Raw genomic sequence first — 16,687 nt, forward strand, 5'->3', positions numbered from 1 at the left:
CTTTCTGAATGATGTTTTAAAAAGAATAAAAACTTGTTCCAGGCAAGAGATTTCTATGAATTTGGTTTGAATCTCTATAGAGTGACAATGCAAAGAACAGACGTATGTGTTCTTTAAATTTATAGTAACTGCTTTCAAATTTAAATTTAAAGTTATTAAGATTCCCTCTAAGGAGTTATACTTTATATATTTTGAACTAAATGATATCTGAATGGCCTAATAGTATATTTTTTATAACCATATCTATCCCAAGGATAACCAACCAATAAACTCAAACCAACCACCCCAGAAATCACCTTTTTTTTTTTTTTTTTTGAGATGTAGTCTTGCTCTGTCACCAGGCTGGAGTGCGGTGGTACAATCTCAGCTCACCACAACCTCCACCTCCCAGGTTCAAGTGATTCCCCTGCCTCAGCCTCCCACATAGCTGGGACTACAGGCGCGTGCCTCCATGCTCAGCTAATTTTTTGTATTTTAGTAGAGATGGGGTTTCACCATGTTGGCCAGGATGTTCTCGATCTCCTGACCTCATGATCCACCCGCCGTGGCCTCCCAAAGTGCTGGTATTACCAGTGTGAGCCACCGCACCCAGCCAGCAATCACCCTTCTTAAGCCATTTTCCATTTCTACTCTCACAAAAAAAAAAAAAAAAAATCAAGCCAAAATCTTTAAAACTTTGTAATTAGTGTGGTTACTGCACTTAGCTGAGAAAGAAAATCCTACAAAGGAGCACTCAGATATATAGAAGCTGGCTGAGCAAAATGAGTAAAATAAAGCCATCAAGTGAAAATTTTCACCTACCCTTGACCTTTTCAAATCAACTACCCAATACACATTTGTCAAACAAGAAACCAACTGTCCATCTATGTTAGAAAAAGTGATGCTACAAAAGCATTGTTATAAACAATGCTACAAAAATAAGCATTTTATAAACTTTAAACTACTAAAGAGATAGAACTTTTAAATCTAAATCACCTGCTTCCAGAAGAAACATTCCAAAACTAACCTATCACAGTGAGGATGCTGCACTAACAAGCAACTATGTAATCCTTCCCCAGATAATGTAAATGAGTTTTTAAGGTTAGTAAGCCACCAAACTTAAGGAAAAGCTGTTTAATTCTTACATAAGTTTTTACTGAATAAACATTAATTTTGTAAATAATCATGATACACTTTGTACTATGATGATCAAGATCACCCAGGCAAACTTTGAAACAATCTTCTCAAAGATGAAACCACCATATTCTGATAAAGTACTTTAGAGTTTACAAAGTGCTTTCACATGCGACATTTCATTCCACACCCCCTAAACACTCACACACAACTATCTGAGCAAGTATTATTGTTTGTCTCAGTTCTTTAGATGATGAAACAGGTTCAAGAGGTTAAGTAACGAAGATTACACACCATCTTAGTGGCAAGACAAGGACTTCAACTAAGGCCAGGCACAGCAGTTCATGCCTATAATCCCAACACTTTGGGAGGCCAAGGTGAGAGGATCACTTGAGCCCAGGAGTTTGAGACCAGCCTGGAGAACATAGTGAGACCCCAGCTCTACAAAAAAAAAAAATTTTTTTTGTTAGCCAGGCATGGTGGTGCATGCCACCCAGACACTAGGAAGGCTGAGGTGGGAGGATTACTTGAGCCAAGGAGTTTGAGGCTGCAGTGAGCTAGGATTGCACCACTGCACTCCAGCCTGAGCAACAGAGTGAGACCCTATCTCCAAATCAAAAACAAAAGCCATCAACCAGATCCTCCACCTCCTAATAAATGTCTACTCTAACATAACACCACAGGTAAGGTCATTTTCAAATTAAGATATATTTAACATTACTCTTAGCAATATTCTAGGAGTCAGAAAAAAAGTAAACATCTTCAAAGTTCAATGTAACACCAATAGACATAAATTTTGAAATGAAGATGCTATTTACAATGATAGGTACATATGTATATAATCAGAGAAAACTCATCATTTTTATTACATAAAGTTACTGTAATAATGAAGGGAACCCTAGAAAAGAATATAGAAATGCCCACTTAAAAATTAAAGTTTAACACTTCATTTAACTTTGATTTTTAAAGTGTCAATTCTTTGTCATCAAAAACATGTTAAAATACTATTACAAGTAATTAGCCAGGCATGGTGGTACACGCCTGTAATCCCAGCTACTTGGAAGGCTGAGGCATGAGAATCGCTTTAGCCTGGGGGGCAAAGGTCGCAGTGAGCCGACATTGTGCCACTGCACTCCAGACTGAGTGACAGAGTGAGACCCTGTCTCAAAAAAAAAAAAAAAAAAAAAAAACTATCACAAGTCAAAAATAACAAGAATGGAATTACTAGTTTTAATATGAAATATAATTAAATATGGTCATTTAAAAACTTGTAAGTGGGCCACAAAAAGCCATACTCCATTTCCAGTCCATCTTTTGATATTTTTCACCTTATTCAATGCCAGAACCAATCCGATCTACTCTGTCTAGAATACATGCCCAGAATTACACTAGGCACTGAACACAATGTAGAGGTGTGCCTAAACATAAAAGAAATCATACAGTCACTGAGCGAAGGGAATCATTTTTAATCTGATTAGGAAAACTGAGATTTGCCATAAGAATCAATTAGAGAATACTAAGAAGTAGCTGCAAAGGAGCCCAGTGATTCCGTTGTTGTTGTTGTTAGTGATGGAGTCTCACTACATTTCCCCAGGCTGATCTCAAACTCCTGACCCTCAAGTGATCCTCCCACCTCAGCCTCCCAAGTTGCTGAGATTACAGGTGTGAGCCACCATCCCCAGCCAGAAACACTAGCTTCTATTAATGTACGGTGAACATGTTCTTATTTTGGGCCAATTTATTCTCCATTGGAAAACTAGGCAATGTAAAAGCACGACAATTTATCTTACCTTTTCCAATCTATTAATTAGAATAAATCAGTTGCATAATACAAGATTTTCAGTCTTTTTTTGAAAAATGTTTAAGAGTGCTAAAATGCAGTAACGTATTACGGGAATAGTTGAAACATCTTAAGTACAATCTATTAAACACATCTTTGAAGAAAATGCTCAGAATTCAAAAACTCACTTTAATTAACTAAATAACAAAATTCTGTTTATGTGTAGACGCACAGTAAAACAGTATGCATCTATTCCCTAGCAACCTCTTGAGCTGGATATGACTGACCTCACAAAAACCTTCTGAGTGTCAGATAGTGTGGTTTATAAGTGAAGCACACATTTTATATAATGCTTAGAAGTAAACAAGGCTGTACATTTTTAAATAACTAAAATAATATAATTGGATTGTTGGTAATACAAAGGATAAATACTCGAGGAGATGGATGCCCCATAATCATATTATGCCTGTATCAAAATATCTCATGTACCCCATAAACATATACACCTACTATGTACCTACAAAAATTAAAAATTAAAAATAAATTTTAAGTTCACAAAGCACATAATTATATACCATTATTTTCAGACGAGATCGGGTGCGTTCAGGGTGGTATGGCCGTAGACAATATATACCATTATTTTCAATGCTGAAATAACTGCCTGGATTGAGATGATGCAGGGACTTCAACTTCCAGTTCAGATAAAATGGCCTAGATCTGTTCTCCTACTGCCCCTACTCACGAAGCACAACTGTAAACCACTGAAATAATAAGCAAAGGAAAATCCAAAGGTGGTAAAAAGGCAGTAAACCAATTTGGGACCCAAGGAATGGAGAAACAAAAGAGCAGCAGAGTGTTTCATGTCCTCACACCCAACAGAAGAAGACAATCCAGACCTGGCATTTCCCAACCACCAATCTAGCAACAGAAAGCAGCTCAGATAGTCACATTCCTCCGCCAAAACAAATGGCAACAACTCTCTGATGTTGTCCTGAAAACATCAGGAGAAGGAGATCAACTTGAAGCCCAAATGACAATAAAGACCACAGGAAGCACTCTTCTTCCCTATTTGGCCTGAGGCTGTTTTCCACCTAGAGACAGAGAGGCAAGTAGGCAAAATTCAGGGACCCAGCCATAGCAAGTGGCTCAGGTTGGGCCAAGAACCTCTTCACTTGCCCAAAGTTACCAGGACAGGCGAGAAAAGAAGAGACCAGTAGGTGGGTCCCACCATAATCCTCTCCCATCTGTAGACAATCAGAAACCCAGCATGGGGAAACCCCTTCCAGTGGGAGCTCCAGTAGGATCAAACAAACCAAGTAGACTGCAAAGTCTCTAAAAATTAAACTGCCACTAGAACCACAGCCCACTCCTAAAATAAAAATTTAAATAGGGCCCAGAGCCTCCTAAGGTAACAGATAAAATGTCCATGATGGCCGGGCGCGGTGGCTCATGCCTGTAATCCCAGCACTTTGGGAGGCCGAGGCGGGCGGATCACGAGGTCAGGAGATCGAGACCATCCCGGCTAAAACGGTGAAACCCCGTCTCTACTAAAAATACAAAAAAAATTAGCCGGGCGTAGTGGCGGGCGCCTGTAGTCCCAGCTACTTGGGAGGCTGAGGCAGGAGAATGGCGTGAACCCAGGAGGCGGAGCTTGCAGTGAGCCGAGATCCCGCCACTGCACTCCAGCCTGGGCGACAGAGCGAGACTCCGGCTCAAAAAAAAAAAAAAAAAAAAAAAAAATGTCCATGATGTAACAAAAAACACCTAAGAAAATCATACCATAAATGAGAAAAGAAAATCAACCAAAGCCAAAGTAGAGGGTAAATCAGATGTTGGAATTTGACAAGAATTTTTAAGCAAAAGTTTCAACAATATATTAACAAATTCTACTGCAACAAGTGAAAAAAAAAACAGCCATAATAAAAATGTTTCCACAATTATACATTATCCAGAAATAAGTGAAAAAATGGAAAATCTCAGCAAAGAAACAGAAGTTATTAAAAAAAGAAGCATAGTCTTCAGATACCTACTACAGAAAAATTTAAAAAAAAAAAAAAAAGCAAAGCCAGCTGCAGTAGCTCACACCTGTAATTTCAGCACTTTGGGAAGATGAAGCAGGAGGATCACTTCTGCTCAGGAGGGTAAGACCAGCGTGGGCAACACAGTGAGACCCCATCTGTACAAAAAAAATTTACAAATTAACTGGGCATGGTGGCACACACCTGTAGTCCCAGCTACTTGCCAGGCTAAGGTAAGAAGATTGCTTGAGCCTGGGAGGTCAGAGCGGTAGTGAGCTGTGATCACACCACTGCACTACTGCCTAGAAAAAAAAGTAAATAAAATAAATAAGCAAATAAATAAAAACTAAAAAGAAAAAAATTAAGACAACTAAAAAGTACAATAAATTTTTAAGGTGGGCTCAATAAAAACATAGAGATGGGCTAGGCATGGTGGCTCGTGCCTGTAATCCCAGCACTTTGGAAGGCCAAGGCAGGTGGATTACGTGAGCTTAGGAGTTCAAGACCAGCCTGGGCAACATGGCGAAACACCATCTCTACAAAAAATATAAAAATTAGCCAGACATGGTGGCTTTACACCTGTAGTCCCAGCTACTCAGGACGCTAAGGTAGGGGAATGACTTGAGCCTGGGAGGTGGTGGCTGCAGTGAGCCAAGATCGTGCCACTAACTCCAGCCTGGGTGACAGAGCCACACTCTGTTTCGGGGCGGGGGGGGGAATGGAAATCATGGGGAAGAGAATCGTTGAACTTGAGGACAGAAAAGTAGAATTCACCCAATCTGAACAAGAGAAGAAAATAAATTGAAAAAAGTAGTAGCTTTAGGGAACTACAGGGCAATAAAAAAAAAAAATCCAACATTCACACCATCAAAGTTTCATAAAGAAGGAAGAAAGGGAGTGGGGCTCAAACACTACTTGAAGAAATGATAACTGAAACGTACTCAAATTTAGGAACACTAACTTGCAGATCCAAATAGCTAAGCAAATACAAAGAGGATAAGCCTAACGAAATTCACTCTAACATCATAATTAAACATTCAAAAACTAAAGACAAAAAAAAAAGACAAAAAAAAAACCTTGAAAGCAGCCAGAGAGAAACAACACATTACCCATAAGGGAACACCAATTCAAATGACACCAGATTTCTCATCTCAAACCACAGAGGCCAAAAATAAAAGTGGCACAGTATTTTTCAAATATTGGAAAAAATGCAACTGCCAACTGGGAATTCTATATCCAGTGAAACTGCCCTTCAGAAATAATAAGGAAATAAAAGTATATTCTCAAATGAAGAAAAGTTAAAAAAAAAAAAGTCTCTAGCACACCTATCCATAAAAGACTGGCTGAAGAAAATTTGCTGAACATAAAGAAAATGATTTTTTTAAAAAGGAATGTTGAAATATCAAAGAAGAAACAACAGAAAGAACGGAAATATAGGTATAAACAAGACTTTTTCTTGGTTAGTTTTATAAATCATATTACATGATGGAAACAAAAGTTATAACACCATCTGATACTCAAGACAATTATATTTAAAATTGGAGAAGGTGAAAGGTAAAATAAAAGTGAGGTTTCCACACTTCTGTTGAAGTATAAAAGTTGATATTAGTAGACTAAGTCATGTATGCATATAATAACCAAAACAGCCACTACAAAACTGAGATAGACTCAAAACAACATTATAAATAAGTCAAGATGGAATCCTAAATAAAGGTTCTAGTAATCTGCAAGGAGACAGGAAACAAACATTCACGCACTACCAGAAAAATTCTTAATTTATATTAAACCAGAAATGTAACAATTTCTGTAGAAGATTCATCCTGGCAATGCTAACTTCACAGCAGACTAACACTACATGACTCACATTTTAAACACGATGGAAAAGTAGATCCATGCTTTTACGTGTTTTGGTTTAGTATGCAATCTTTTCCTACCATTGACGTGTCAAGGCTCACCTTGGAGTACATTTAGTAAAAATGCAAAGTACACATAGAGATTTACAATTTTAAAGACAAAAAAAAAGGTCCTATTATGTGGTCCCAATGAGAGGTGAAGCCAGCTGGACTTCCTGGGGACTAGGGACTTGGAGAACTTTTCTGTCTTACAAGAGGATTGTAAAATGCACCAACCAGTGCTCTGTAGCTAGCAAGGGGATTGTAAAATGCACCAATCAGCGCTCTGTAAAAACTCACCAATGAGCACTCTGTAGCTAGCAAGAGGATTGTAAAATGCACCAATCAGCGCTCTGTAAAACACACCAATCAGCGCTCTGTAAAACGCACCAATCAGCAGAATCCTAAAAGCAGCCAATTGCAGGGAGGATTGAAAAAAGGGCATTCTGATAGCACAGAAACAGAACATGGGCAGGGACAAATAAGGGAATAAAAGCTAGCCACGCCAGCCAGCAGCAGCAATCCGCTCGGGTCCCCATCCACACTGTGGAAGCTTTGTCCTTTCTTCAAAATAAACCTTGCTACCGCTCACTCTTTGGGTCCGTGCCATCTTTAAGAGCTGTAACACTCACTGAACGCAAAGGTCCATGGCTTCATTCTTGAAGTTAGAGAGACCACGAACCCACCGACAGGAACCAACTCCGGACACACCAACAATAAACTGAAAAGTCTATGACAAATGGGGACTCTGTTGAGCTGTCTATAAATACTTTAGATTTGGTACAATTATACTGAAAGTTGAGTTCATTTGAAATGTTCAAAAAAAATGTTCCTGTTAATCTTCAAATGGTGCTTGTTATAGTTTAACAGTTCTGTTAAATGCACGCATTAAATTACTTGAGTTACCCAAGTGCAGCAGCTGCTCCTAACCCTGTATGGTTAAGGACTTTAACTGGCCATCTTCCTCAAATTCTATTCCTTCCTGACCATTCTCAACAATTCTCTTTGTAGTGATTTTTCTGCCATTAGCCATTTTAGTAGAACCTGATATCAATTTGGAAGTGCCCATCCCACTACCACCAAACGACACGAAAGAGAATGAAGTGAAGCCCCCATGACCTAGTGACCTGAATGAAACAAATCTTGTATCAAAAGAAGAAAATCCACTTCCAAAAGATGGAAATCCACTGAATGTGGAAAAAATGACTCTGTCCCTTGGCCTCCTCAGGGACCCCATTCCAAAAAAAAGTCCTCAAAAGGGTCTTCAAAGAAGTCAAATAAAAATGGGTCCCTTCCACCAAAAAAATTCCCTGAAGACATCATCTGGGTTACAAAATGTGAAGCCAAACTCAAATGGACTGTCAAAATGACTTCCACCTCCTCCTCCACCATTTAATCCTTCTTTGCCACCATTTAATCCTGTCATAGATGTACCATCTTTTAGCATCTTACAGCACCTCACATGCCTCAGCCACTTGTTTTGATTTTCTCTCTGCTTCTTCTTTATTCTCAGGAATCTGGGTGCCACTTCAGTGCCAGTTTCCATTATGCTTTTTTAATATCCTTGGGTGAGGTATGTCTCTGCACACCTAGAACTTCATAGTAATCCATCATGTTTTAGCAGATAGTTGGAAGAGGACTGAGGATGCAGGTGGCAGGCGATGGGACACAGGGGAAGTGGGGCAGTGGCCTGGATGCTCTGGGCTCTGGATCTCCTCTCAGCTAGCCTGAGTAGATTTTTTTTTTAATGGCCCAATTATATGTTGCTTGCAAGAAATTTAAATTCAGCAACATAACAAGTTAAAAGCACAAGAATGGAAAGACATGACAATAAATTTTTTAAAGCAGAGTGGCTACATTAATAACACAATCAACCAACATGGTCTTCTTGACATATGTAGAGAATATTCCACTCAATAACAGCAGAATACACATTTTTCTTAAGTACCCATGGAACATTCACCAAGGCCATAAAACAAACCTCAAAAAACTTAAAAGAACTGAAATGGTAACAGTGTATTTTCTAACCAGTAACTAGAAATCAGTAACAGAAAGACAACAGGAAAATCTCTAAATAGAGCAATAAACAACACACTTTTAAAAAGTCCATGGATGAAAACAGAAGTCTCAAAATTTTTAAATATACATAAAAATAAATGAAAATAAAAACATAATACACATCAAAATACATGGGATGCAGCTAACAACAATCAGACGCACTAAATGCTTACATTAGAAATGAGGAAAGATGTCGAACCAGTAATTGAATTACCAAAAGAAACTAAAAAAGAGCAAAATGAAGCCAAAGCAAGAAGGAAGGAATTATTAAAAGAAGAAATAAAAGAGGAAAATAGAGAAAATCAATTAAGCAAAAAATTTGTAAGCCTCTATCAAAACTAACAACAACAACAACAACAAAAAAAGACAAACAGAAGACACAAAACATCAGGTATGAAACAGAACATCAGTACAGATCCTATAGCAGTTTTAAAAGAATATAAGGGAATATTACAAACAATTTTATGCTCTTAAATTTGACACCAACTTCACAAAACCACATTAGCAAAACACAACCAAGATGAAACAGAGAATATAAATAACCCCATAGCCATTAAATAAAACTGACTTCTTAATTTAAAAGCCCCCCCAACTGCTGCCAAAAAACAAAAAACAAAAAAAAACCTGCAGGCTCAGATGGCTTCACTGGTGAATTCTACCAAACATTTAATGAAGAATTAATACCAACTGTTCACAAACTCTTCCCAAAACTTGGGGAGAATATTCTTCAACTCATTTTATGAGATCAGCATTACTGTTACCAACACAAGACAAAGACATCACAAGAAAAGAAAATGACAAGCCTATAACTCTTACAAATGTAGCTGCAAAAATCCTCAACAAAATACTAACCAAATCTACCAACACATAGAAAGGATTATGCATGACCATGTAGGATTTATCTCAGAAATGCAAGGTTGGCTTAAGATTTGAAAATCAATATAATACACCACATCAATAGAACAAAGTCCAAAAACTTTTATTTTTGGCAGATCATCTTAGATGAAGAAAAACATTTGATGAAATACAACACCATTTACACAATAAAAACACCCAACTAGGAAAGGGAACTTCCTCAACCTGATAAAGGCCATCTATGAAAAATCAAAGCTAATATCATATTCAAAAGTAAAATAAGTGCTTCCCCCTAAGATCAGAAAGAAGACAAGGATGTCTACTCTTGCTACTACTTCTATTCAACACTACAGTAGAGGTTCTAGCAAGGTAAATGATATGATTTGGTTCTGTACCCCACCCAAATTTGATCTCGAATTGTAATCCCCACATATCAAGACAGGGACCTGTAATCCCCACATGTCAAGGGAGGAAGATGATTGGATCACACGAGCAGTTCCCCCATGCTATTCTCATGATAGTGAATGAGTTCTCAAAAGATGTGATGGTTTTATAAGCAACTGGCATTTCCACTACTTGCATTTCTCTCTTCAGCCAACATGTGAAGAAGGTCCTTATCTCCCCTTCATCTTCTGCCATATTTGTAAGTTTCTTCAGGCCTCCCCAGCCAATTAAACCTCTTTATAAATTACCCAGGCTTGGGTATTTCTTTATAGCAGTGTGAGAATGAACTAATCCCCAAAACTTACTGTAAATTTTGCTTAATTTACAGTAAATTAAGCAAAAAACTGAATTAAATGGCATTAATATTGGGAAAAAAAACTGTCTCTATTTCCAAATGACATGATCATATATATAGAAAACCCTATGGAATCCACTAAAGCTACTAGAATAAACAAGTTCACCAAGGATGCAAAATTTACAAAAATCAATTATATTTCTGTACACAAGCAATGAACAATTCAAAAATAAAATTAAGAAAATCATAAGCACTTATAATAGCAGGAAAAAAATAAAGTACTTGGTAATAAATTTAACAAAACAGGTACAAGACATGTACACTGAAAACTACAAAACATCCCTGAAAGAAATTAACAAAGACCTAAACAAACATCTAATGTTCATGGATTGAAAAATTTCATATTGTTAAGAGGAAAATACTTCACCAAATCACCTACTGATTCAGTGCAACTCATATCAAAACCCCAGAACCTTTCTTTGCAGAAATGGACAAACTAATGCTAAAATTCATATGGAATTGCAAAGGACCAAGAAAATCCAAAACGATCTTGAAAGAAAAGAACAAAGTTAAAGGATGCATACATTCTGATTTTAAAACTAACAAAGCTACAGTAATCAAGACACTGTGGTACTGGCATGAAGATAAACATATAGATCAAGGAATAGAATTTAGAGTCCAGACTTAAATAACTAAATTTATGGTCAATCTTTTTTGTTAAATTTTATGTATTATTTTTTTTTTTTTTCTGAGACAGGGTCCCACTCTGTCACCCAGGCTGGAGTGCAGTGGCACGATCTCAGCTCACTGCAAACTCCACCTCCTGGGTTCAAGTGATTCTCCTGCCTCAGCCTCCTAATTTTATGTATTCTTTTTATAGAGGTGGGGTCTCATTATGTTGCCCAGGCTGGACTCGAACTCCTGGGCTCAAAGATCCTCCTATCTCAGCCTCCCAAACAGCTGAGACTACAGGAGTGTGCCCACTGCACCAGGCTAAGTCAACCAATTTTTTGACACCAAGACAATTCAGTAGAGAAAGAAGTCTTTTCAACAAACCAGTGCTAGAACCAAGGAATATCTACATGCAAAAGAATGAAACTGGATACCTTCATCATCCCATATACAAATATTAACTCTAAATGGATTAAAGACCTGGCTCAGTGGCTCATGCCTGTTATCCCAGCAAACGCAGGTGGATCATTTGAGCCCAGGAGCTTGAGACCAGCCTGGGCAACATGGCAAAACGTCATTTCTACCAAAAAAAAAATACAAAAATTAGCTGGGCGTGGTGGCATGTGCCATAGTCCCAGCTACTCGGGAGGCTGTAGCTGGAGGATTGCTTGAGCCTGGGAGATCAAGGCTGCAGTGAGCCTTGATCGTGCCACTGCACTCCAGCCTGGGTGACAGAGCAAGACCTTGTCTCCAAGAAAAAAAAAATTAGTTAAATGAATTAAAGACCTATAAGTAACAGGTGAAGCTTCAAAAGTGTCACAAGAAAAGTCTAGTGTGGTGGCGCATACCTATAGTCCCAGCTACTCAGGAGGCTGAGACAGGAGGATCACTCGGGCCCGAGACGCCAAGGTTGCAGTGAGCTGTGATAGCACCACTGCACTCCAGCCCAGGAAAAAAAGCAAGACCCTGTCTCAAAAAAAAAAAAAAAAAAAAAGCTATCCAACAGCAACAGCATCAAAAACAATACTTAAACTTAACTAAGGAGGCAAAGACTTGTATGCACTGAAAACTACAAAACACTGATGAAAGAAATTGAAGACACAAATAAATGGAAACACATCCCATGTTCATGGATTAGAAGACTTAATGTTAAAATGTCCATACTACTCACAGCGATGTACAGATTCAATACGATCTCAATGAAAACCCCAATGGCATTTTTTACAGGAATACAAAAACAATCCTAAAACCCAAACAGAACCACAAAAGCCCCCGAATGTAGCCAAAACAATCTTGAAAAAGAACAACAAAGCTAAAGGCCTCACACTTCCTGATTTCAAAACACATTAAAACAGTATGGTACTGGCATAAAAACAAAACATACAGACCAATGGAACAGAACAGAAAGCCCAGAAATAAACCCAGGCATACAGAGGCAACTGATCTTCAAGAAAGGTGCCAAGAATCCACAACAGGAAAAGAACAGTCTCTTCAATAAATGGTACTGGGAAATCTGGGCAGCTATATGAAAAAGAATTGAAGTTTGACCCTCATTTTACACCATACATAAAAGTCAACTCAAAATAGATTAGAAACTTTAATAAGGCCTGAAACTGTAAAACTCCTAGAAGAAAACATGGGAGAAAAGCTTCATGGCACAGCCATGATTTCTAGGATTTGACACCAAAAGCACGGGCAACAAGCGTAAAAACAGACAAGTGAGATTACATCAAACTAAAAAGCTTCGCAGAGCAAACAGATCAATCAACAGAGCAACTAGGCAACTTATGAAATGGGAAAAAATATTTGCAACTACACATCTGCTAAGGGGCTAAAATCCACAATATACAAGGAACTCCTACAACTCAATAGCAAAAAATAACAAATAGCCTGCTTTTCAAATGGGAAAAGGACCTGAAAAAATATTTATTCAAAGACAACATACACAAGGCCAACAGGTATATAAGCAGATGCTCACCATCAGTAATCATCAGGAATATGCAAATCAAAACCACAATGAGATACCATCTCACACCAGTAAGAATGGCTATTATTAAAAATCATAAACTAACAGATGTTGGTGAGGCTGTGAAGAGAAGGGAACACTTAAATATTGCTGGTGGAAATGTAAATTAGTTCAGCCACTGTGGAAAACAACTTCAAGATTTCTCAAAAAACTTAAAACAGGCCAGATGTGGTGGTTTACACCTGTAATCCCAGCACTTCAGGAGGCTGAGGCAGGAGGATCACTTGAGTCCAGGAGTTTGAGGTTGCAGTGAGCTATGATCTCACCACTGCACTACAGCTCAGATGACAGAGCCAGACCCTGTCTCAAAAAACAAACAGACTTAAAACAGAGCTACTATTTGACCCCACAATCCCATTACTGGGTGTATATCCAAAAGAAAGAAATCATTATACCAAAAAGATACATGAACTTGTATGAACAACCATTATCCAAAAATAACAATAACAAGTATTGGCAAGGATGGAGAAATTGTAAACCCTGTGTACTGTTCATAGGAATGCAAAATGGTGCATAATATTTTTTTTAAAGTTCAGAGGTTCCTCACAAAACTAAAAATAGAACTACTGTATGTTCCAGAAATCCCACTTGTGCATATTTATCCAAAAGAATTGATAATGGGTTTTGGTTTTGTTTTGTTTTTTGAGACAGAGTCTCACTCTGTCACCCAGACTACAGTGCAGTGGCGCAATCTCGGCTTACTGCAATCTCCCGTCTCCTGGGTTCAAGTGATTCTCCCAACTCAGCCTCCCAAGTAGCTGAGACTACAGGCATGTGTCACCAGGCCCATCTAATTTTTTTTTGTATTTTTATTAGAGACAGGGTTTCACCATGTTGGCCAGGCGGGTCTCAAACTCCTGACCTCAAATGACCCGCCTGCCTTGGCCTCGGCCTCCCCAGGTGCTGGGATAACAGGCGTGAGCCACCACCATGGATTTTTGAGGAAATATTTGCACTCATGTTAACTACAGCAGTAGTCCCCAACCTTTTTAGCACCAGGGACTGGTTTCACGGAAGACAATTTTTCAATGGGTCAAGGATGGTTTCAGGATGAAACTGTTCCACCTTAGATCATCAGGCATTAGATTCTCAAAAGGAGCATGTAAAACAGATTCCTCACCTGCGCCGTTAAAAATAGGCTTCACGCTCCTAAGAGAATGTAAGAGAATCTAATGCCACTGCTGATTTGACAGTGGGCAGAGCTCAGGCAGTAATGCTCACTCACCTGCCACTCACTTCCTGCTGTGCAGCCCAATCTGTAACAGGCCTCCGACTGGCAGCAGTCCATATATATATACACACACACAATGGAACATTATTCATCCTTAAAGAAGGAAATTCTATAACGTTGACAACATGGATGAACCTTAAGAACATTATAAGTGAAACAAGCCAGTCACAGGAGGCCAAATACTGTATGATTCCACTTTTTATGAGGGATTTAAGATAAAGTAGTCAATCTCATAGGAGCAGAAAGTAAAACAATGGTTGCCAGGGGATGAGGGGAGGTAGAAATGAGGAGTTGAGGCTGGGTGTGGTGGCCCACACCTGTAATCCCGGCACTCTGAGTGACCAAGATGGGAGGATCGCTTGAAGCCAAGAGGTCGAGACTACAGTGAGCTGTGATTGCACCACTGCACTCCAGCCTGGGCAACAGAATGAGACCCAGTCTCTACAAAAATAATTTAAAAATTTAAAATTAGCCAGGCGTGGTGGCAGGTGCCTGTAGTCCTAGCTACTCAGAAGGCTGAGGCGAGAAGCTTGTTTAAGCCCAGAAGGTTGAGACTGCAATCTGTTACCGTGCCACCGCACTCCGGCCTGGGCCACAGAGTGAGACCTTGTTTCTCAAAAAAAAAAAAAAAAAAAAAAAAAGCGCAGTTGCTATTCAATGGGTATTGTTTAAGCTATCCAAAATGAAAACGTTCTAGAGATCTGCTGTACAACATTGTGCTTATAATTAACAATACTGTATTGCACACTTAGAAATTTGTTAAAAGGATAGGTCTCATATTATGTATTTTTTATTACAATAAGAAAATTTTAACTGTTATGCTTCAAAAGACACTATCAAGAAAGTGAAAACAACCCACAGAATTGGAGAAGATATATGCAAATCATTTACCTGATAAGTCTAACATCCAGAACATATAAAGAACTCTTAAAACCCAACAATAAAAAGACAACCCAACTAAAAAACAGGCAAAAGATCAGAAGACATTTCTCCAAAAAATACATACAAATGGCCAATAAGCAGATGAAATGATGCTCCACAGCATTAGCCAACAGAGACATGCTAATCAAACCATGAAATACTGCTTCACACCCACCAGCATAGCTATAATCAAAAAGACAGTATGAAGTGTTATCAAGGATATGGAGAAACTGGAACCCTCATATACTGCTGATAGAAATGTAAAATGGTAAAGCTGCTTTGAAACATAGTCTGGAAGTTACTCAAATGGTTAAACAGAGGTACCACATGACTCAGCAATTTTTCACTCTTACATACACATATACACAAAAGAAATGAAAACAAATGTTCACATAAAAACTTGCACATGGACGTTCACAGCAGCATTATTCACAATGGCCAAAAAAAAAAAAACAAAGTGGAAACAACCCAACAACTGATGAATGAATACAAAAAAAAGTGGTAAACCCATATAATAGATTACTATTCAGCAATAAAAAGGAATGAACTGCTGACACATGCTACATCATGTAACATTACACTAAGTAAAAGAAGCCAGACAAAAAAGATCATCTACTTTATGATTCAATTCATATGAAATGTCCAGAACAGGCAAAGTCCTAGAGACTGAAAGTAGACTAGTAGTTGCCAGGGACGGGGAGGAAGAGGGAATGGAAATTGACTGCTAATGGGTAGTTTCTTTTTAGGGTGATGAAACTGTTCTAAAATTGATTATGCTGATGGCTGTATGCCTCTGTACACTGAAAACAACTGAACTGTATAGCTTAAGTGGGTGAATTGTATGGTATATAAGTTATACCTCAATAACACCGTTTAAGGAAAACTATATGATGGCTGGAATTTGCTTCAAAATAACATGGAAGATCTAAGTAAACGGAGAAATATCCTGTGGTCACGGACTGAAGGACCTCTATCTTAAAAAAAAAAAAAAAAAAGATCTTCTCAAATTCAACTATAGGTTTATTCAATTCCTATCAAACTCCCAGCAAGATTTTTTTTGTAGATACAGATGTGATTATTCTAAAATTTATATGGAAAGGCAACAAAACCAGAAGAGCTAAAACAATCTTGACAGAGAAGAATGAAGTGAGAGGAGGCACTCTACTCGATAAGACTCACTATAAAGCTATAATAATCAAGACAGCGTGGTACTGGAGGGAAGGCAGACACACTTATCAATGGAAGAGAATACAGAACCCCAAAACAGACCAATACAAATATGTTCAACTGATTTTTGAGCAGTTTGGAAGTTTTTTAAATAACTAAACATGTACTTGCCATACAACCCAGCAATCCCACTCTTGGGCTTTTATCTCAAAGAA

General features: G+C 38.2%; 1 protein-coding gene and 1 pseudogene across 13 annotated transcripts in view, besides 1 other annotated feature; both read right to left on the minus strand.

The window, feature by feature from the left end:
- The window catches only part of ZNF148 (zinc finger protein 148), a 149,686-nt gene that overhangs the window by 110,712 nt on the left and 22,287 nt on the right, over positions 1–16,687 (minus strand). The window contains exon 2 of one of the 13 annotated variants that reach the window (NM_001348427.2): positions 2,442–2,531. The exons of the other annotated variants lie outside the window; for them this stretch is intronic. The gene's annotated coding sequence lies outside the window, so the exon portion shown is untranslated. The remainder of the gene's footprint in view (positions 1–2,441; positions 2,532–16,687) is intronic. 13 annotated transcript variants of the gene reach the window in all.
- Positions 3,662–4,260: an enhancer, noted in NCBI's record as "NANOG hESC enhancer chr3:125058886-125059484 (GRCh37/hg19 assembly coordinates)". NCBI's record gives its function as "activates a minimal SCP1, AML or CMV promoter by ChIP-STARR-seq in naive H9 embryonic stem cells {active_cell/tissue: H9 hESC(naive)}" and the evidence as "EXISTENCE:reporter gene assay evidence [ECO:0000049][PMID:30033119]".
- DNAJB6P7 (DNAJB6 pseudogene 7) lies at positions 7,759–8,417 on the minus strand (annotated as a pseudogene).

The sequence above is a fragment of the Homo sapiens genome, chromosome 3 (genome assembly GCF_000001405.40).
Source record: "Homo sapiens chromosome 3, GRCh38.p14 Primary Assembly".
NCBI lineage: Eukaryota > Metazoa > Chordata > Mammalia > Primates > Hominidae > Homo > Homo sapiens.